This window comes from Homo sapiens, chromosome 7 (genome assembly GCF_000001405.40).
Source record: "Homo sapiens chromosome 7, GRCh38.p14 Primary Assembly".
Lineage (NCBI taxonomy): Eukaryota > Metazoa > Chordata > Mammalia > Primates > Hominidae > Homo > Homo sapiens.
This window is the reverse complement of record NC_000007.14, coordinates 80,183,759-80,206,918: the sequence shown is the minus strand read 5'-3', so window position 1 is coordinate 80,206,918 and position 23,160 is coordinate 80,183,759. Positions and strand designations below refer to the sequence as shown.

The window sequence follows — 23,160 nt, the reverse complement described above, 5'->3', positions numbered from 1 at the left end:
GTATTTTGAGAAAGTGAGACCACATTCACATACCTTTTATAGTACGTTGCTATGATTGTTCTATGTTATTATTACTTGTTAGTCTCTTACTGTGCTGAATTTATAAACTTTATCATAGATATGTATGCCTACGAAGAAACATGGTGTATATAGGGTTCAGTACTATCAGTAGTTTCAAGCATATATGGGGGGTCTTGGAACGTATCCCCTCGAATAAGGGGAGACTACCGTAAGCCATTACCTGAACATAATTTAAGTTTGCTTTAGAACATAATCTTTAAAACAAGGTGAACAAAACCAAAATCAGAATCTAAGGTATACTAGGTTAAAAAAAAAATTCTAAGTCCCAATCTGATAGTGAACTTCCTTGTCATTAAAATCACTTCTTAGTTTTAAGATAAAATGACAATATTCTCCAGATCAGACATATCTGATTACTTGAAATCAGAGTACTGAGTTTGTTTATTTAATATTATGGAAATAGTAATGAGCAGACTAAAAGAAGTTAAACGATTTCAGTAACAGATAATGACAGCAGCGTAAAATGTCCACTGAAGGCTTTAAGAAAAAAATGAAAATAAAAAAAAGCATATGCAACACCATAGCATGTATTAAAGCACAAAGCTAATGTTGCCACATAAATTAATTATTACCTATATCTTTGTTTAAGAAAGCAGGTCAATGTTTGTTTTTTGGAGAGAAGTAGCCATGAAAAATTGAAATAAAGCTTTAGTTTTCTGTAAATTCAATTACATGAACCACCTGTAAATCAGTGACAAGTGATAGTAACAAATGTATTAAATTTAAAATACTTATGGAAGCAATCAGAAGTATCGTTGCATATAATTTAACAGTGTTGACTACTTCTAACAGTGAGACTTCTTTATGAGATGAACTGATAATTATTTTTTCTCTCACTTAGGAACCTTTTTTTCCAAGATGATTTTAGAAATTCTGCTTTATCATCACGACCATTTCAGAGCAACAGAGTTAGCTGAAGCAAAGCCTAATCCATAATTCACAGTAAAGATTTATTTAGAATGATTATGTTGAATCATACAATTTTTAATGAAAATAAAAAAGACAAAATAATTTCAATAACGACATGGGATACTCCATTTGCAAACCAAATGCAGATAAATTACTTTTTTGCAAACAGAATAATATAACAGTAAATTCTGCTTTCTGCTTTTGTAATCTTTTAAAAAATTCTGTTTGGTATTGTGGGGATGGAGTTGGGTAAAAGTTAGATATATACACGGTCTTGTAAAGTTTGAATTTCTACAAAGAAACCAAAAAACTCCACTAAACATAATCTTAAAAAAAAATCACAAACTGGTAACAAATGATTTATCTAATCCTTCGCTGTATTTAAAAGTTGAAATTTAGAAAAACATGAAATATTAAAATTTTCCTTAAAAAACAGATCATAAACACCTTTTCTAATCCAATTTCCTGCAGTGACAACTGGAGTGTGCTCAATTTGGGTCAACGTATCTATAAAGCTCTGCAGCTGAGAGATGATATCTAATTGATGCCCATGACTGCAGTGGCAATCTTCCTTAAAATCAATCTTAACCTTGTTGGGTTAAAAAAAAAACAAAAATATCCCTATCTGTTAAACTTAAAAGAACAACAAAATCCCTGTAAGTCTACAACTCATTTAATTCTAGCATTTTTATTATTTTCATTTCCAGGAATATTTGGTATAGGACATGCATAGGTTTTAATACTGTGTGAATAATGTGACTCTATTATATTCATATAAATTAGTCATTGACTTCAGACGGGCCTCCCAAAGCTGTTCAAGGGCTTTGTGTTTGGTGTTCCTTCAGCTGAACACTCAACTGGCACTTGGGACATGTGACATTTTAAATGAATGTGAATTATAAGAAACTAGCAGATTTTAAAAAAAGAACTTCTGCCTCTTTATTTAGCTTCAATGTACTGAAATAAATAATACTAAGAAGCAAAAAAGGAACATCTGTATTTTTAAATATTTTTTTAACATCAAGTAACACTACAGTGGTCTTAGATGTCTATGAAAATACAGAAGTTTTGTTTCAGTAGAATATCCCGTGATGTTATCTTATTAATGTATATATATTTACATAGGCTACATAATTTCTTTTTTCATGATTTTACTATTACATTAACAGAAATGATGAATAACAGTACAGACTTAAGGGTAATTTTGTTTGAGTGAACAATGAAATCAGTAGATGGAGCATTTTAGAAGAAGAAAGTCATGGTAATGACTAGCAGATGACCTGGAAGGGAAACAGATTAACTGACCAGGAAGGCTGTATAGATAAAACAAGACTCTGCAAATGAAAACATTATATTTCGTTGTGTTTAAGTCCAACAGTTCTCCTCATACCTTGGAAAATGTTATTTACTGGAAAAAGAGGAAAGTAGTTTTGTAAATTTGAATATGATATTTTACTAAACTTTCCTGAGCCTCGTTCATCTTAAAATGAGGGAACTGGAAAAATATGCACTCCAAGACCCCTTGCATTTCTAAAGACTACGATTCGGTGCTTTTCTGCTCCGACCTCAGTAAGTGGATATTCAGTACACTTTAAATGAATACTTCTTATCATGAAATAGTGCATAAGGACTACCTTCATAGGGAAGGTAAGTTCCCTATGAAGAAAACTGTTCACGAAAAAATTGTTAAAGGTGCTCTTCTTAATATTTCCATAAATAAGCACTTATGCTATCAGTAAAACTTGCTCTCTTATTACCTAAAAATAGATGGCAACACTTTCCGAAAACACAGTATATTAGAGCAGAATTTTGTTTAGAAATAAAAGCCAAAAACTATTTTGTTTGAATCACTGTAAAAACTATAGGCAAAACGGAATTTGTGTGGATAGATTTTCTTAAATAAAAACATTCCTCTTAGGAATGCTTTTTTTGACTTCTTTCTCCCAAACATTCTTTTGTCCAATCATCTGAAGAAAGTTTTTTTCCAACTGTAATTTCCAACTGTAAAAATGTTGTAAACTTTTATTACACTTTTTATTTCTAAAGCAATGTGTTTTTATCTAAATTTAGAAATCATATATTTCAAAGCTACTCACTTAAAATGAAGATCTTTGAAAGTAAAATGGGTTTCAACAATTCCTGTAGTTTTCACTCTAGTTCTGAGAACATCTTGTTGAGTCGGGATGTAATTTGGTTGAGCTATTCTGTCCAAGTCATTCAAATAGCTGAAAAAAATTAAACAAAACAACATGTTAATGGTAAATATAGCCAATAAAGATCATCCAAAACAAAAATTAAAACACATTTCAATACAAGCGATAATCTGAAATCACTAAAAGTTTTTAAATTTGTGTGTAAAGATATAATCCAGTTTAAGCTTGTATCTTATCTTACAAACTCCCACGGAAATAAAAATGTTTACACCTCTGCAACCACAAAGCTCTTTTAGTATTTTTTAAATGTGTACTTTATTTCTTAGGGACAGTTATCAGTGATTCAAAGGAAAAAGAATAACTTAAAAAAAAAAAGCTAATACACACCATGAGTTTGTTTCTTAGAATTCTTTATCACACCTTTTGGATATAGCACTGTGTTTATGATCCAGACATCATTCTTTTTTTACTGAAGATTTTTAAAGTCTTAATTTTGGAGCAAGTAGTGATGAAAGCTCTTCCCAAAGGCTGAACGAGATGTTTCTTTTCAACCAGTCTTATGTTACATACAGGAAAACAGCACATACTCCTTTACGCTGCACTTTACTGCTCTCTAAATCAATACATGTTTTAGTCACTCATGTAATACTCTCTGCCACTGGTGCTACATATGTTGTGATATAAAAATGTAGTAGTATCATACCATGCAATGTAAGAGATTAAGTTATCTTGTGTCAAATTATATGGTATAGTCAGTAATTCACAGAAAATACAGGTATGGAGAGATTAATGTGGACCTAGGTGATTAAAGAAGGATTCATGGATAGCGAGGGGTCTAAACAGAAACATGAATAATGGGGATGGAAGAAAAGGAATGACACTGCCCCAGGAGAAGCTGTAAATCAGTATGGAGATGGGAACAGTTGCATGGTCTTTCTTGGAAAGTAAAGCCACTAGTAAGCTATATAAAGCCTTAAATGAGGAGTTTGGAATGAGTCCTAAGGTCAGCTGAATGTAGAGACCATCACCGCAGTGTTTTTATTACGAGACCTATAAGGTGACTGATAACTTAGAAATAAAAAATGTTTTAGACAGTCAAGTGTATGTATGTGGTAATTATACTAGAATACATAGAGAGATGACAGCCTGAGTTACCTGTATTGTATTTACTGAATTTAAGAGAATCTTATTATCACATTGGTGATAATCCTCCAGTACTTTCTCTGTGCTTTTAATTCTAAATGTTCTACTTTACTGTAAGAAAATCCGACTTAACAAATCAAACAAGCCATGGCAAGATTTTACTGCCTCTTTAAAATAATGAGCTACTCTTATTTAAAATGTTCTTTGATTACTCACAGATTTCTTTGCTTAAAACCGTTACAGTTCGCCAGGCGTGGTGGCTGGCGCCTGTAATCCCAGCACTTTGTGAGGCCGAGGTGGGCGGATCACGAGGTCAGGCAATCAAGACCATCCTGGCCAACATGGTGAAACCCAGTCTCTACTAAAAATGCAAAAATCAGCTGGACGTGGTGAGGCGTGCCTGTAATCCCAGCTATTGGGGAGGCTGAGGCAGGAGAATCGCTTGCACCTGGGAGGCCCAGGTTGCAGTGAGCCAAGATCACGTCACTGCACTCCAGCCTGGGGACAAAGCCCGACTCCATCTCAAAAAACAAAAAAACCAGAAACAACAACAACAAAAAAACTGCTATAGTTCAAAAAAATCTCTAAAAATAGTATTTCAATAAGACAAAGAAGAAAAGCAGGCACTGTGAAAAATTCTGATTGTTTTAAATGATTACAAATTTAAAGTGTGAATTGGTGGCTAGTCAGTCCTAATGGGCAACTTGACTGCATCTTAGCATCCCCAGTCAAGAACTCATAGATCACGATGCCCTCTAATCACTATGGAGAAAAATGTTTCTAAGACTTTCTTCATTCCTAAAAAGCAGCCGCATTAGTGCCATCTTAAGGTCACAACTATTAGAAATAAAATAATGTAAAACTAAAGCAACATATTTTTCATTTTATAATTTTAATTTTTTTTTCTTTGAGACATGGTCTTGCTCTGTCACCCAGGCTGGAATACAGCTGTGCAGTCATAGCTCACTATAGCCTCAACCTTCTGGGCTTGGGTGATTCTCCTGACTCAGCCTCTCAAGTAGCTAGGACTACAGGGATGGGCCACCATGCTGGCTAAATTTTTTATTTTTACTTTTTGTAGAGACAAGGTCTCAGTATGTTGGCCAGGATGGTCTGGAATTCCTGGGCTCAAGCGATCCTCTCACCTCAGCCTCCCAAAATGCTGGGATTACAAAGCATGAGCCACCAATGCCCGGCCTATGTTTCTGTTAACTCACGTCCAAGTAGTGTGCACAGGAGAGAGGGTCTTGGACAAGAGACTGAGGGGGTCTGGAAGTTCCCCCATACAGTGAGAAAGAGAACTTCAATCTGTCATTCCCAAGTAGTACCCCTTAATTATTGAAGTAGCTCCTTTTGCTGGACTCGACTCAAAGCAATCTTCTCATCATAGTGACTCCCACTTAAATCTCCACAGATGCTGGTGGTGTCAAAGCAAATATGGTTTATGAGTTGTGTTCTTCCTGTAAGTATTTTTTCTAATTTGTCTTCTAGCCTCTGTGATGTCTGGTTTATGAATTCATTCATTATTAAACAAGATCATATTGGGTGATGACTGTGTCAGGCTATGGGAATACAATATTAGGTAAAAACACATTACTGAATTTACAATGTAATGGCAGAGACAGAAAATAATCAAATATTCACAACATAAACAGGAACAAAATAACCTCAAAATAAATGTAAAGCTGAAGAAAAAGTACATTAGGAGTACCTAAAACTGGAGCGCAAGGACCAACTCAGTGGGTCAAGGAATATTTCTTTGTATAGGATATGATACCAGTTGGAGAGATGGGCTACATATTCAATATGTTTATGTTATATATACATGTATAAACCACGTAATAATACATATGGTTAATACAAGTGTAAAATGTTAAAAATATAGATTATGAAATACAGGGTTATAAAGATTGATGTGGGTGATACAATATTCATTATTTCTTAAACACACTAAATCACACAACATATAGTACCTAGTCTGATGCTGAACAAATAATTCGCTCTTCAGGAGGCACACCTCATTTATTTATTCATTGTGGCAAAGTGCATGCATTCACCTAGACCTTTCAAAATTTGTCATCTATCTAATCCTTGTGTCCCTAACAGCCAACAGCTGTGTCAAGAAAATGGAACAATCCTGGAAAGTAAAACAAATGCACAACATAGGTTTTAAGAGCAATACATATCATATAGGACATTTTGAGTATGTGTGGCAAATTATAAATTTTTTTTTTGTTTTGGTGTTGTTCTATGGAGATCACCAAACAGAAAGCTCCCTGATTAGGTTTTTTTTTTTTTTTTTTTTTTTGAGACATGGCCTCACTCCATCTCCAGGCTGGAGTGCAGTGGTACGAGCATGGCTCACTGCAAACTCAAAGTCCTGGGTTCAAGCAATCATCCTCTCTCAGCCCCCGCTGAGTAACTGGGACCACACGTGTGCACCATCATGACTGGCTAATTTTTGTATTTTTTGTAGAGATGGTGGGGGGAGGTCTCGTTAAGTTACCCAGATGGGTCTCAAACACCTGGGCTCAAGTGATCTGCCCACCTTAGCCTCCCAAAGTGCTGGGATTACAAGCAATGAGCCACCTCACCCAGCCTCCCTGATTAGGTTTCATCACAACTTGCTTTGCAAACTTTCTGGGGCCACCACCTGAAAATTCAAGGCAGATTTTTCTTCCAAAAAACTGTACTTAAATATCTGGAAACAGTGTCAAATACAACAGGGCACACACACAACTGACAATTTTCAAATACAGAGCTATTTTACTTAGTCAAAAAATACCTTGGAGTCATCTTGCACTCCTTCAAAAAATCCCTACTTACAGTACCTGTCATTGGACAAGTAACTCTTCTCAGGCACTGCTAACATAATGAAAGGAACTCAAATCAGTTACACTCTCATTAACATAGCTCCAAGTAAACTAGAAATACACCCCAATTTGGAGTGGATTTTGGAAAGTTCCAGTTACTTTCTTGAAAATATATTGCAACAGGTACCATTCTCCATGTTTCAATTAGAGTTACATAGCATGAGTCTCTTGAGACACTATTGAACATATAGGAAATAACGTTGCTATCTACACACACACAACACACATAAGACAAAGTTTTAAAATATTGTCATCCTGAATATCCTAAGTTGTACAAGAATGTGTCAGCCAATTCTGCAGTAAAATTGACTTGGAAGTATATTTGACTTGCAAGTAATTATTCATGATAGTTTAGTTCTGAAGTTATGATTACTTACTATGCTGCAGAATCATTAAGCTGGTACTCTCGGGATCTGTTGAAACAGGCTTGTACACCACTATCTTTCCACAATCTCTTTATAACTCCAGCAAGTTCTGCAGTCATAAAGCCTTCTTCAGCAGCTCCAGCTAGCACAAAGAGTTGGCGTGCATCATCCTGAACATTCAAAGGACATTTTTTAAGTAAAAAGGGATACGTCAGAGATAAAAAGTACAAAGGAGACAATTCTAGAGTTAAAAAAAAAAAGGCAATAGCGAACTTCCTTTGTTTTTATTAACACGTCATTACTTTTCTTTCTCTAAGCCACCACTTAAAAATTGCCTTGACCAAAAGACAATAATCACACATCATATGTCTATGTTTTGTGGTGTTAGTAGTATCTGTCAAGGCACTAGGAAGCTGGAAGAATAATTAAGGTTCCAGCTCATAAAGGGGACATTAGCCAATTATCCACTGACAGTTTGTTGTGTATTGAAGATGATCATTTTTGAGAAAACAGAAGAAGAACCTATGTCTTCTTCCTCTCTCCTCAAAATGTTTTCTAAACTAAGAAACATAACTTTCAAAGATTAGAGATAGAATTGAATTAAGTGTTAGCTTTCTGATATACCTTATAGTTGCAAAGTAAGTTCAGAGAAGGGAGAAATCAATGTGGAGTGGGCAAGACCAGAAGACTAATTTCATGTAATGGTCTGAGATTTTCAGGAGATTTTAAGTATGGACACATTAAAATCAATGGGGCAGAAGTTGGGAGCAGGTGTTTTGCTAATCCAGGCATAGAAAACAAAATAAGCACAGCTTTGGAGTAGAAATACTCATGATATACATAGAGGACAGTATGTAAAAATTTCTAAATGAAAAGATACTTTATATAAAGTTAATTAAACTTAGCTTAAAATTTGAGGCTACTCATATTTGGTTATTCTGATCCACAAGTAATCAACCACTCTAAATCAGTGTGTGGACCAAGAGAAATATAATGTGCAACACTAATACAATCTAAATATTCTAATAGCTACATTTTTTAAAAGCTTTTTTTAAAGCTAGGTGAAATGATTTTTAACAGTATACTTAACCTATGTATAAAAATATCAATTCATTTATATGTAATAAATACACAATTATATTTCATATTTTTTCATACGTATTACAACATCTGGTGTGTATTTTATGCATACAGCCCATTTCAATTCAAAGTAGATACATTTTAAGGATTCAGTAGCCACATGCGGATAGTAGCTACCATACTGGATAACCTAACTCTAGTTTCCAAGTAATAACACAATTAAAAAAAAAACAAAACAATAAACAAACAAAAAACCCAGATATGAAGTTTCTTTCTTCACAGAGATTCTCCTTAACTTGAGATATGTAGCTTTAAGATAACTGGGTGGACAATTCCTAATTTCTTTCAAGAGGCATTCTTCCAAAGTATTGTAGCAGATGCTTATAAAGTGATGGCACACATTATTATAAGGGGTATAGAAGAGAAGCAGCATTTGGTGACACAGGCTAGCAGAGTGTACTAGCTGACAATATAAATTCATGCTGTTGCCAATTTGTGAAACATTTTCTTTTCAGCTGGAACCCATCATGAAAAATAATTAAGTCTCTCAGCATGAGAACATATTATTCAAGCATATGCTTCCCTTTTTAGCAAATCACAAGAGAAATGCATGCAAGCGACACGTGCATGATATCCTTAATAAACCTCACATAACATGGTTTCCAGTCATTTTTGCACCATTAGTCTAATTCCAGTAAACAATTATTCAATTATCCAAATTATTACCTATACATGAGAAATTTCTGAATTTGACCATTTTTATTTATTAAATTACATCAAATATAACCTTTCTATTTTAGAAAAGTACTCTTCGCTTAAGTAGGTTTTCAAATGAGCTTTCATTACGACGTCTTCATTCAATTTCAATAGCGTTTTTTGACAAAAAAAGACTAATGCCCTCCAGTATGGGTCACAAGATCACATTCTTCTCAAACTTTCCAGGAATAGGCCTGAAGTAAAGACTTAAGAAACTTTGGAAGCTGTATTTATAAATCACATTCTCTCTGTGGCATTAAAAAATGTTTCTTTTTCATAATTCTACATATAAGTGAGATGATGTTTTATTTTTCTTTCTGTGTCTGGCTTATTTCACTAAGCATAATGTCCTCCAGGTCTCCAAAAAAAAAAAAAAAATCCACAGAAACAAAAATAGGTCAAGGTCAAATATACAAAGCTAGAGAACAAACCAGTAGTTATGGTTATGGGGTGGGGGAGGAGAGGAGGGAGAGGAAAGAGAAAATAGAGAGACATATTGAAAGAATACAAAGTAGCAGATACATGGGATGACCAAGTCTACAGAAGTCCAGACTGAAGTACAATATGAGGACTGTAGCTAATTAAAAAGTACTGTATTCGAGATTTTTGTTAAACAGGTTTTAACTGCTCTTCTAGTCAAAAAAATTAACTATGTGAGATAATGGGCATGTTAACCTACTCTACTATAGTAACAATTTTACTATCTATATGTATCTCATAACATCAAGTTGTAAAGCTCAGATAATTTTTTCAAGCCTCTTTTCTTTAAAAAAAATTTACTGGGATTATTCACTTCCACATCATTACCAGGACATTCAGGTGTGTCTGTAGATGAGCTTTCAGGCAATAAATCTGACCAGGAAAACACTGCTGAAATTATTCTACCTAATCTTCTGTATAAAACGAACCCAAGGCACAAAGAGGTTAAGCAACTTACTTAAAGTTCCATGGCTAGTCACCCAATCATACAAATTAGGGAGTCAATGATTCATTATCTAAAATAGGATAAATTTTAAAAGCACAGAATGATGACAACGATTTTATCTTGCCATGGAATGAGGTCTTTGCAAAATTTGTGAGAAAGAAAATTACTTAACATCTATAAATATAAATGTAAGTGTACCAAAATAGTGTGATACAGAGTAGAAAAAGAATAGGGATTACTTAAGAGAAGACTGGAGTTTGGTAAGGAGGGTTAACAGGTTAATAAAGCAGTTTACAGGAAGTCTTTGTGGTGGTGAAAAGAAAGATTATTTGCCAGGCAATTATTTGACAGAAAAATTCCTTGCATGTAGCAAAGCTAAAATATTTTCAAATTACTAAAAGCTAAACAAAAATAAGTTGATTTAGAGAAAGTAAATTCCAGTTCATATATTCATGTGCTCTGAGAACTCAGAAAGGAGCTATGAAGCACTATTTTGTCAAAGAGACAAATAATAAGTCCTCATTCCAAGCGGTGGTCAGGGGATATCTGGCATGCTGTACTTATTTAGTGATTACATGTTTTATTTAAAGCTGTCACCCACTTGATGAAAATTCAGAAGAGTCTGCCTAGGATGGGAGGAGAAGACTTTAAGGGAGCATGATGGCTGTCATCTGACATAATTAAAGGTAAGAAAGAACAGAGTTCATGTTTAGGCACAGAGCAGAAAAAGGAGCATTCTTAGAGCAAAAGATATCAGAGTTCATCTCAACTAGAGGAATTTTTTTTAAAATAATCAAAGCCACCTGAAAAACAAAAAAGGGAAGGGGAATGACAGAGTTTTTAAAGCAAAGGTCAGATGACTATTGTAATACAGCAGATAGAATTTATGTATGAGATTAAGAGTTTAAATTTAAAAAGATCTGCAAGCCCTTCTAAAATAGAAGCTAAATAATATGGTAATGGAGTGTTATTGAGAGTTTTTAGCATGAAGGGCTGTTGAATTTTATTGAAGGCCTTTCTTTCACCTATTGAGATAATCATGTGTTTTTTGTCATTGGTTCTGTTTATGTGATGGATTATGTTTATTGATTTGCGTATGTTGAACCAGTCTTGCATCCCAGGGATGAAGCCGACTTGATCAGATGTTGAAGAGTTGCTTTAAGGAATACATACATGTAAAATACATTTTTTTTTCTAAAAGCAGAAATATAATCAAAGTAAAAATGTCTTGAGGAAATGAAATAGGAAGTCATTTTTCTTTTTTCCCCATAAGAATACTTAAAAGGGGGGAAAAAGCCTAAAATAAAAAGTTAATTTTAACTAAATTGCAGAGATAAATTTTTAACCAAATTGCAGTGAATTTAGCATGAAGTATGAGTTTCACTAAGTCAAGAAGGGAAATTATCAATAAACATATTATATAAATATACAAATTTATAAATCTTATACATGTATAGATATATTTTTTCAAATTGGTAAAATGGAGAAATATTGACATTTAAGTGTTCCTGGTATTGACAAGAGAACTTGTCAATACAGAAATGTGAGATAAGTGAAATGAGGATAGAAAAATACTGTATTAGAAGCACACATTCATTTCAAATGGTGGCTAGTATCATTTTGCCACATATATATCAATATTTTTCAGAATCAAAACAAAAACCGTATTTTCATCTTAGTTCTCAAACATAAACCAGAATACTACTATAAATGATTCAAACATTCATGTGGAAAAAGCAAGTAAAAGTAACAAGGAGCATTTTGAAAAAGACTGGGAGCACAGGGATGTTATTATCAGATATTAAAAGCCTACAATATGTAGAAACAGTCTACTATGAAGGCAGATCCATAGGGGAAAAAAATCCCAAATCTGAACTTATTACATGATAAATGTGGCAAGATACATCAGTCAGAAAAGATACGATTAATCCAATAACACTGGTGATAATTAGATAGCCACCTGAAGAGAAATAAAATAATGTGCATCCTTACTCCATGCATATAACAAAACATGCTTCAGACAGATTAAAAAATAAACACAGAAACAAATGTTAAAATTCACTCCCTCAAAATTCCCCTTGCTTTAAAAAGAGCATCAATATTTGGTAAATCTTTTGTTGAGAGAGGATGTTCTACATTTAAACACAATGGAAGAAATAACGGGAATTTTAAACATTTTTTAAAATACAATATTACCATAACATTAATGGCAGTTAAGTAAAATTTGACTTACTAAACATTTGTATTAATGGACAAAGAGTTAATACATACACACATATAAACAAGCAAACAGATCATCAAAACACCAAGATTCCAAGTGGTAAATGAATAAAGTGCACAAGCCACATAGAAAAATAAAAATATAATCAATAGACAGGGAAAACTGTTCAGCTACATTAAAAATGGAAAATTCAAATTAAACTGATACATGATTTACTAACAACAAATTAGCAAAGATTTTTTAAATACAAGACTCCTAAATTTTGGCTGCCCAGAGTGCTAAGAAAAGGCATTCCAAAAACTGCTGCAAGGAAGGTAAACTGATAGAACCTTTCTAAAAGACAATCTAGCAAATCCGGCAGACAGACACAGACAAACTAACTAATGAAAGTAAATAACAAAGTTATTGGAACAGAAAAATGGCCATTATGCAGGAGCATGTATGAGGCTTAGGGGGAAAACTTATTTAAGTCAATTCAAGGTGAGGTTTCCCACTCCTCACAGCCTATATTCTAAATAAGTGCTTCTCAAGCTATCTGTGATGAAGAACCGGTGTTGTGTTTTATTTCATTTGCATTTGTTTCCAGTCTATTCCAGAATAATAGTAGAAAAAATTAAATGACACACAAAATATAAATTAATATTTTAAAAACTCTCAGAGTGAACATATAAATTACTCTGTCAATTGCTGTAAACCCAATGCTTACATTTAATTTCTATATCCATTTTGTGCACACTCTTGTGGACAGGCACTAGTCCACAAGTCCATGAATCACATTTTGAACAGCTCTCCTCTAAGTGCTCAGTGCCTGAACAGGTGAATAGGCCCCTTTGTAAAGCTTCTAAAATTTTACTTCATTAGAAACATAATCACCTAAATTATCAATATATTATCACTCGCAGATGGACTATCCTCATTCTACGAAAGCTGTGAAATGATATTAGGCATAAAATGTGACTGCTCTATGCAAGCCTTGAAAACAATTTTATTTCTTCTCATTTTAAATAACCAGTCTTTAATCTGTTTTGAAAATCTGGTAACTGCCAAATATGAAGCAAACCACAGAAAATTAGTCAACACTTATTAAGATTTTACATCTTCTTACTCAATTCTTACCAAATCAACCTATATACTAAGTAAGATGTAATCCCAACCAAGTCAACAAGCTGTTTTGGTTTGTTGTGTTTCAACAGGGTTGTGGGGGAATTAAGCTGGCTCTCAAGTTCATCTGGCAGAGAAAACCATGATGGCCTTGATATTCGGCAAAAGAACAACGGAATGAAATGGGGTGCGCTTACTCTACCAGGTGCCAACTAATCCATGAAGCCATAGAAATTAAAATGATGTGACTCTCAGTAGAATGACAGTAATGTAATAATAATTATTAAAAACAAAAAAAAAAACAATAAAACAAGGCCGGGTGCGGTGCCTCATGCCTATAATCCCAGCACTTTGGGAGGCTGAGGCAGGTGGATCGCCTGAGGTCAGGAGATCGAGACCAGCCTGGCCAACAAGGTGAAACCCCGTCTCTACTAAAAATACAAAAAATCAGCCAGGTGTGGTGGTGGTGGACACCTGCAATCCTAGCTACTCGGGAGGCTGAGGCAGGAGAATCGCTGAACCAGGAAGGCGGAGGTTGCAGTGAGCTGAGATCATGCTCCTGCACTGAAGCCTGGCAACAAGAGCAAAACTCCATTTCAAAAAAAACAAACAGAAAAAAAACCAAAAGATAACAATAGCAGCAACAGACATTTATTGAGCCTGTATTATAACCAAGGCATGTGGGGAGTGCTTAATATTCAAAATGTCATTATTCCTCACAACCCTACAACATAGATATTATTTCCCTTGTATTATAAGGAAACAAGCTTAGGGAGGTTGAATAGCTTAGTAAGTGACAGATGTGGGGAAAAAGAACACATCAATAGAAAGAAAAACTGGAGTCCAGAAACACACCCAATTTAATGCTAAGGGCAGCAATTTCAAGTCACTGAGGAATAGACGGAATAGGCTGATTATTTAATATTTAACAAATGACTGTTAGGCAAAAGATATTATAAAATATACTTAGATCCTAACTAGCAACAAACACAACATTTAAAGGTGTGTGAAGAGACAGAGATAAATATAAAAAATAAAACTACAAACATTCTAAAAAAATAAGAGAATTTAAAAAATTATAAGGTGAAGAATGCCATTCTAATAAGAAACAAAACACAGAAGTGAGAATCGATTGTAAAAATCTTAACAGTTCTGTAATGTACTATTTCAAAAACTAAAAGAAATATGCTAGGCAAAAGTGTTTGCAATATGCAAGGAAGGATTAATATGCTTAATACTTAAACAGAATCAATGTGAAAAGGTAAGTAATTGAACAGAAATGAGTGAAAACTAAGAGGAGTTCACAGAAGAAATATAAATGAACAAAATGTTTTAAAATAATTCTCAAATTCATTAAAAATCAGAAAAAAACTAGAAAAAGACAATACTTCTGATTTATCAGATGTTAAAAACTGAAATGTTGATAACACCTAAGTTGTTGAGACTATGGTAAAACAGACACTTATGAACGGATACTAAAACAGATTATTCATGTTGCTTTTCTTCAGAAAGCAAACCTGTGGTACCTATCAAAATTCAGTATCTGGTTATCCTTCAACTCAGGGTTAATACTTCCAGAAATAGAAATATATTCAGACTTCTTTTGAATATACTGTTTGTGGCTTGGCGTGGTGGCTCACGCTTGTAATCCTAGCACTTTGGGAGGCCGAGGTGGGCGGATTACTTGAGGCCAGGAGCTCGAGACCAGTCTAGCCAACACAGTGAAACCCCATCTTTACTAAAAATACAAAAATTAGCCAGGTGTGGTGGCATACATCCGTGGTTCCAGCTACTTGGGAGGCTGAGGCATGAGAATTGCTTGAACCTGGGAAGCAGAGGTTGCAGTGAGCTGAGATTGCACCACTGTACTCCAGCCTGGGCTACAGAGCGAGACTGTCTCAAAATAATAACAACAATAAATATAATAATAATAATAAAATGTTTCTTATTCATACAACGCTTTTTCCATTTTTGTCCAGAAAACTCTTATTCATGTTTCAACACTCAGTTTCAATGCCCCTTCCTCGTGTCCAGGCCACGTTTAATTCGTCTTTGTATTCCTTAGCACAACTGCAAAAGCCCAGTAGTTTTGAAAGCTTACGTAAAGATAGGTAACACAAAACACGGAGTAGACCAACGAGAAGCAATGGGAGGACATGAGGCATTTGTGTGAATGAGTTAATGATGATGGAGAAAGCAAACAGAAGTAATAGTCTAAAGGCAGGAAGAAGACAGTTACTGAAGTATCGCTAAAGACAGTCTAAAAAGAGTGGGTCAAACCAGCAATAGTGAAACAAAGATGAGCAAAGCAGGCCCACATAAGATTCCAAAGCATCAGAAAACTGGTTTAAAAAAAAAAATAGAGCTTGAGAGTAGTTATTTCCAGTCTTGAAACTACGCCCAAGTTATGTTTAAAAAAAGAAAGAGAAAACGACAACATTCCTTGAGAGAAAAACTTGAAAATAAAAAGAACTCATGAAAAACTGTTTGTATTGACCCTTCATGATCTCCTAAAATGGAGGCTACAACGCTTTTTTCTTTCGTAAGCACATAAAAGATCCAAATGCAGAATGTCATATATGTGAATTTGGCAAAAGGTTTAAATTAAAAGTTTATAATTAGAATTGGTGTAAGGTACAATTTTTATTAATTCTTTTTTCTTAATCTAAGCATGGTTCCCTACTGTGCAGTCTTTTAAACAAAGATTAAAAAGGCTTAGTTTAATTAGCATTTCCAAGTAGATTTCAACATTATTTTCAATAATAATTTATAATGTTCTTTTAAAATGTCTTTTCTGAAATAAGATTTGATCATCTCAAGAATGCTTATTGCTTGGAAATCACTCTAATTTATGCATTTATCATTTATTCATTCAACAAATGCTTTTTGAGCTCAAAAAGTTTGCTGAATAAATGATAAATGTATAAATTATTTAAAATGATATTGAAATCTACTTGAAATTTTTAATTAATGACAGTAAGCTTTTTAAAAAAGTTTAAAAAACAGTAAATTAATATAGCTCAGTAACTTGTAAGAGAATTCTTAAAGTAACATTTTAAAAACTAGATTTTACAGATTTTTCCAATGTATATTCCCTAATATTGCTTTCATTCATTTTTCTTCCCTAGTAAGCATGAATTGAGCCTACATGTTTAAAAAATAAAATCTAGCTGACACTAAGACAAAAAGAAAAATTTATAGTCTCTATACACAAAATCTTCATAGTATTAGTAGGAAGACAGTATGTATACTGAATATACAGAATTATAAAGGAACCATAAAAATAAATACTAGTAAAAATAATACAATAATATATCTGCTAGAAATAAATACATTAAGCAATCAAAGAGAAGATAAGAGAAAAAAAAAGAAAACAAAGGTGCCTTACGGATTGGATTGGGCTGCTTCCAATCCAACTGAAACAAGTTATTGGGCCAAATGAGGAGGCACAGGCATAGTGCCTTGGTTACCACGAGCTGTATGGCAATCTCTGTACCATGTAATTTCCTGGGTGCTAGTTTCTTTCTTGGCAAAATAAAGAATTGAAACTAGCTTGTCTCCAAAAATCTCTTTTAGCTCTCAAATTTTGATACATGGTTTTTAATAGCCGATATTTTCCTATTCCAAAGATAAGCAAACTTTTATACTGTTTTCATTATTCGAGATTAGATTGCTTTTCAGTCTAGGCATGAATACAAATGACTAGATCACTTCAGTATTCCAAATTGCAGAAACAGATTTTGAAGAGGGCCAGGGTAAGCAGTTTACTCAGTACTAAAAATTATTATGGGAATACAGGGGTACCCAACACAGCATGCTACACAGAAAGCACTGTGGTGATTATTCAGTTGTCCAAATCATCTAATGGATAAGGAAAGCATAAAGGAGAGATTATACAATCCTACATATTCTAATATTTCACTCACTTCTAACGCTCCTCATTTCACTCACTTCTATCCTTTTGGTTCCTTTTATGAAATGGTCCTGATAGTTGACAAGCCTATGTTACACAGTATGGTATTAGCATACAAGTTATTCTTTTTACCCATCAGGTCAGCTCCAACAAATTTAATAACTTACCGCCCGGGCTGAGTCACCAAAGTCTATCTTCAACCTCCCCATAGCCCTAATGATAGCAATAATTGACTGGATGGTGTTACTGTAGACCACTGCTTTGTATTGTTTACACTCCTCTTCTGAATAACCAGCTTCATGGATAATTCTAATGAGACAAAAGGGAAAAAAAAGAATTATTTACTTCCTTTGGTAGAACGGTACACTAACTTAAACAGCAAATTTGGTGTTTAAATCTACTTACTTCATCTGCTTCACAATTGTACTTTTACCAGATTCACCAGCACCTAAAAATATAAAACATAAAAGGTTTCTAATTTCATCATAATCACTTAAGTATATTCAACTCCCAACACACAAACACACACACACACACACACACCCAGTCTCTCTCTGTGTGTCTACCTCTTAGAGCTGAATTTTGTTTTATACTAAAATGAGATACAAGGCAGCAAATATGTAGGATGAATAAGTATAAAGATCTAACATACAACATGAGAACTGTAGTTGTACAGTAATAATACTGTATGGAGTCAGGATTTTGCTAAATGAGTAGATGACAGCTGTTCTAGCCACAGGGGACAAACAGGTAATTACATGAAATGATGTATATGTTCATTTGTCCCAATATGGTAACCATTTTGATACATATATTTTGTAATATCATGTTGTATGCATTTAAAATTTACTTTAAAACAAATAAATAAAATGAGCTTCATCGGTTTCTAAACACACAGAAAAGTTCTGGGAAATAAGTCTGCTCTACCTATTATTTCATATACTTAAAGTCAATCAACTCAAATAAAAAAACATGCTTCTACTGTTGTTTGTGTGTATTCTCCAAAGCATTAAAAAATTCAGTCTTCTCTAAGTTAAATTAAACCTGTATAAATTAGTTTTATTTAAGACTCTGCTCTCCATTGGAAGATGTTTTAACTGCCTGACCAATTATCTTAATTTTAACCTGTGGCTCTTGTGAAATAGGCAGCAGTGGCACCAAGAAGCCACATGAAAAACTATTTTAAAATATCAGATGTTCAAACAGCTATGTCTCATGGAATATGTGTTCGATCACCATTATTAAAAACCTAATACAGAACTAACATGACTTGCTAGCACTGAGGGTTCAGTGTTGTGCTGGACAAAAATAAAATAAAAAGTGTTTTTTCATCTTCATTGTTATGCAAGCCATAAGGCCAGGAGCCATTCTCAGAACTCTCCTTCACTCTGTATACATGCAGGCTCTCCTCAAGATTTGAGTTCCTAGTGCTATGCTACCCTAACATGAAAATACTACTAAGGAAATGACAGTTTACAAAATCAGGCCCTTCTTAAATACCCTTTCCACTTAACAATAGCTGCTATCTTTATACCAAATTAGATCAATTATTTGTCAGGCTCCCCTCCCTTGATTGCTGGGTATTGAGAACATCTGAGCAAAGGACACAAGACATGGAAGATATGACAAGTCTATCATTTGGCTTCACATACTCTTTGGCCAATACTACAATATCCTGGAGGAATTTATGACTGTTTGAGACACCGGGCCCAGGATTTTCACTATATTTTCATTTCATTTTAGGCTCCATATTCCCATTTTCCCTGGGCCATTCCTACAGAGTTTCATGTTCAGCATTACTGAACAACTTACAGTTCCAGGAACACCCACTGCTGCTCATGCCACACATCTTCAAACACTGTTTCCCCTGCCAAAATGCAATTTGCTCTGGTCTTGCCACCCTGGTGATTTTTTATTAAGCATCGAACTTACCTCCTTTGTCAACCTCTCCTTACCCACTCTGCATGTGATTCCTGCTGCCTCTCACTTTGCACATGTTTGTATTTGAATTCTCAGAAGCTAGCTTGTGCTATACACAAAATCAACCAACCAGAAATGTACTTGAATTTATTTAAGCTATTTCTGACTGATACAACTGATGGTCAACTTCTGGGCCTCATCTCTCCCTTTACCTCTTTCCCTCTCCAGACACACAAAGACACACACACACACACACACACACACACACAAAGACACACACACACACACACACCCAAATCATCAGAGGCATCTGAAAAGAGGTCATAGTTAAATGCCCTATTTGAAAATCTGAGGATAAAACTCCCTAAATTTTACTTGTGGTTTGATATGTAAGAAATTTTCCCAAAATACCCTCACACTGAATAGAAAAGCAGGCAGGCACTGAATAAACAATAAAGGCATTCTCCATTTACAGACAGCCTTTGAATCTTTCAGGGCATCTGCCAATGAAAACAATTCCAAGATAAACAACCCATTATTTATTAATCAACAACAGTGTGCTTGGCTCCATGAAAAGCATAATGGCAGGCATTCTGGCTCACACATTTCTCTAATCCAGGGGGTCCACCCAAGCAATATAACCTAGGCAGTTTCCAGTGGGGCTGTCTTTAATAAACCACTCTGGGTTTCTAGAGTACTGTGAGTTGAGGCAGTGGTTGCCATGCTGTGATGATGGGACACTCTAGATCCCAGGATTCGTACACAGGGATGGTGATACCACAGATATAGTGAACTTTGATGAATAGCCACTATGGTCCATTTTGTTAGTGAAACAACTGAAAAGCCCAGAGAAAGGTTCAAGTGATGTAAGCTCGTGAGTTTTGAGATCCACGAAAGGAAGAAAATCAGAAATAGTAAAGAATAAGATTTTTCCAGTTGAACTATGTATGTACAAATGAGAATGTTTAAACCTTAAGAAAAAAAAACAAATTTTCCTGCTATTAGATATTATCTCTACATTCTAATTAACTTTTTATCTCTTCAAATAAATGGGAACATGGGACGCTTAGCTTACTTTGCATTGCACATCCAGTCAATGGCTTGTGGTTCAAAAAGTCCTGAAATCTGTTTAACATTAAAGAGTGGGGGGCCAGGCACGGTGGCTCATGCCTGTAATCCCAGCACTTTGGGAGGCTGAGGCGGGCAGATCACGAGGACAAGAGTTCTAGACCAGCCTGGCCAATATGGTGAAATCCTGTCTCTACTAAAAATACAAAAATTAACTGGGCGTGGTGGTAGGTGCCTATAGACCCAGCTACTCGGGAGGCTGAGGCAGAAGAGCTGCTTGAACCCGGGAGGCAGAGGTTGCAGTGAACGGAGATTGTGCCGCTGCACTCCAGCCTGGGCAACAGAGTGAGACTCCGTCTCAAAAAAAAAAAAAAAAAAAAAAAAAAAGAGTGCGGATGGCAGTCTTATTAACTGGATTTGTACTTTCTTTACTAGTCACAAAATACTCTTTGTGGAATAGATATCTACAGGCAGAAATTTTGCAAAAACGTTTCAAAGCTTAGCAATTTACATAATTAGTTTTCAACTCTCAATTCCATACAGAGTCTCCTAAGAGGAAAATTACAAATGCCACGTGGTTAGGGTTTCAACATTCTGAACACTGGTATTTTCTCCATATAGCATACAGGAAAGAGTAAATAGTTGTTCTCTACAAATCTCAGGCAGCACAGTCACTTCTGGGAGGCTGGGAGTGTAACGCTGCACATCGTTGCCTGATGTGCATGCCAAGTCAATATGCTGAGACCCTGGGCTGCAGCAGAGAAAGAAGTTTAATCGTAGTAGGGCCACCGAACAGAGATAGAGGAAACCGCAAATCTATCTGCCTGAGGAGTTTGGGGCTAGCGTTTTTAGGGGTTTTGGAGTGGGTTGAAGTGTACAGATTGAACGGTCAACGAATGCAGGGTAAAGCCATAGGACAGGGAAATGAAGAAACTATTCTTAGGCTGATTCGGTTCTTCTGTGAGGGTCTTTAAACTGGATGGCCTCAGCTGTTAAATTGGAATTCAGGATCTACTTAAACAATTCTTAAACAAAAGCCTCATGATTCTAACACCAGAGATCCAATCTAAGGCCAGAAATACTATCTATAGGAACAACCAGGATGCAAATGGTCAGTATCCAGTGTTATGTGACTTTCAGTTACAAGGAAGTGGGTCAAAGCACAGACTGAATAATGCTTAATTATAGCTATATTTCTGTCTAGAATTCTTTTTAACCCTGTGAACATGGCTTCAGCAGGAAACAATATTGTAAAGAAAAAAATGGGGTTGGGGGGTAAATTTTTTCCAGTAGTACTCAGCCAAGTTGCTGTTACTTTTCACTTAAATCCAGGATGGGATGAAAAGTGCTCCCATCTACCAAGAGCAACTTCAAGAAGAAAAGAGAAATATGTAACATGTGTCAGTCAAGAAAGATCAAAGTGCGTGACCATTTGCAGTCACGAAACCTGGCTGGTCAAGGTGACTAAGTGGCCGGCACAGGAACTATCAGTCAACTAATCACTGTGGAGTGAATGAGAGTTTAGAGGGAAGAATGTGACTCCCAGAGGGCTGAGAATATGTGTGCAATGGTTATGGTTGGCCAGTGGCGATAAAGCCAAAGTTGTGATGTTATAGTAGGTAGCTAGTCAGGCATGAGCAGGGCAGGAGAGGGTTCCACCTGACCAGGAATGTCAGGTGACCATCAGGTGATGGACAGGAGGTTGTTAAATGTTTCTCTAAAATAGTAATTGGTCACAGCCAGTGAAAGGGAAAGGCAGTCTCCATATAGATAGAAAAAAACCTGCAACTGGTGATCAGCAGCTTCCCAATAAGATCTGAAGAGATGGGTGAGTGAGCTCAAGCATGCACATTAAGAGGCAAAATGGTGGAGTTTAACTGGTATATGACCTTCCTCTAGGAATGCTAGACTGGTAAGGGAAGAATGCCTCAAGTGAGTATGGGCACAACTCCAGTAAGCACACTGCACAGGCTCCTCTCCCAAGCGCTAGCAGGCCACTGCGCATGTGAACAGCCCACCCCAAGGGAAGAATCAGGGGAGAAGGGACACAAGACCCTGGACGTACCAATGTATAAAACCTCAAGTCAAAAGGCCAAACTGCACAATAACCGTTCGAGTCACCAGCTTGGCCCTCTTCCAGGTGCGCGTTCCTTCCTTCTGTTCCTGCTCTAAAACTTTTTAATAAATTTTCACTCCTCTAAAACTTCTCGGTCTCCCTACCTTATGCCCCTCGGCCGAATTCTTTCTTCTGAGGAGGTAAGAATTGAGGTTGCTGCAGATGCATCAGATTCGCTACTGGTAACAGGCACACAGAGGAGTCCTCCCCCTCCGCCCACTGGTCTCCTTTAAGGAGGAAGTGGCTAACGAAAAACTGCATCTCTGACAGCAAATATGGAGCCCAGCAAATAAGACTGTGCTGAGGACAAAGGAGCACCATCACATTAACACCGGAGAGAGAACTCACAGGCATTTTGGGGTCTCAAACATACAGCAGCCTACCGGTAGGATCCAGGAAAGGGAAATGCATCAAGTCAAGACGGTGGGAGGAAGGGAGAAAAAATAAAAACAAATCAAGATATAAGGTAACCCTTTGCTAGATTCTAATTCCTTTAAGAGAGTTATGTAATTTATCGCTATCAATGTGATAGTCAA

General features: G+C 35.5%; 1 protein-coding gene across 2 annotated transcripts in view; it reads right to left on the bottom strand.

The window, feature by feature from the left end:
• Positions 1–23,160, bottom strand: part of GNAI1 (G protein subunit alpha i1) — a 91,351-nt gene that overhangs the window by 19,263 nt on the left and 48,928 nt on the right. For both annotated transcript variants that reach the window (NM_002069.6, NM_001256414.2), the window contains exons 2-5: positions 17,926–17,968; positions 17,688–17,829; positions 7,537–7,694; positions 3,087–3,215 (exon numbers count right to left, since the gene is read on the bottom strand). In NM_002069.6, coding sequence (NP_002060.4) covers positions 3,087–3,215; positions 7,537–7,694; positions 17,688–17,829; positions 17,926–17,968 — 472 coding nt within the window. The remainder of the gene's footprint in view (positions 1–3,086; positions 3,216–7,536; positions 7,695–17,687; positions 17,830–17,925; positions 17,969–23,160) is intronic.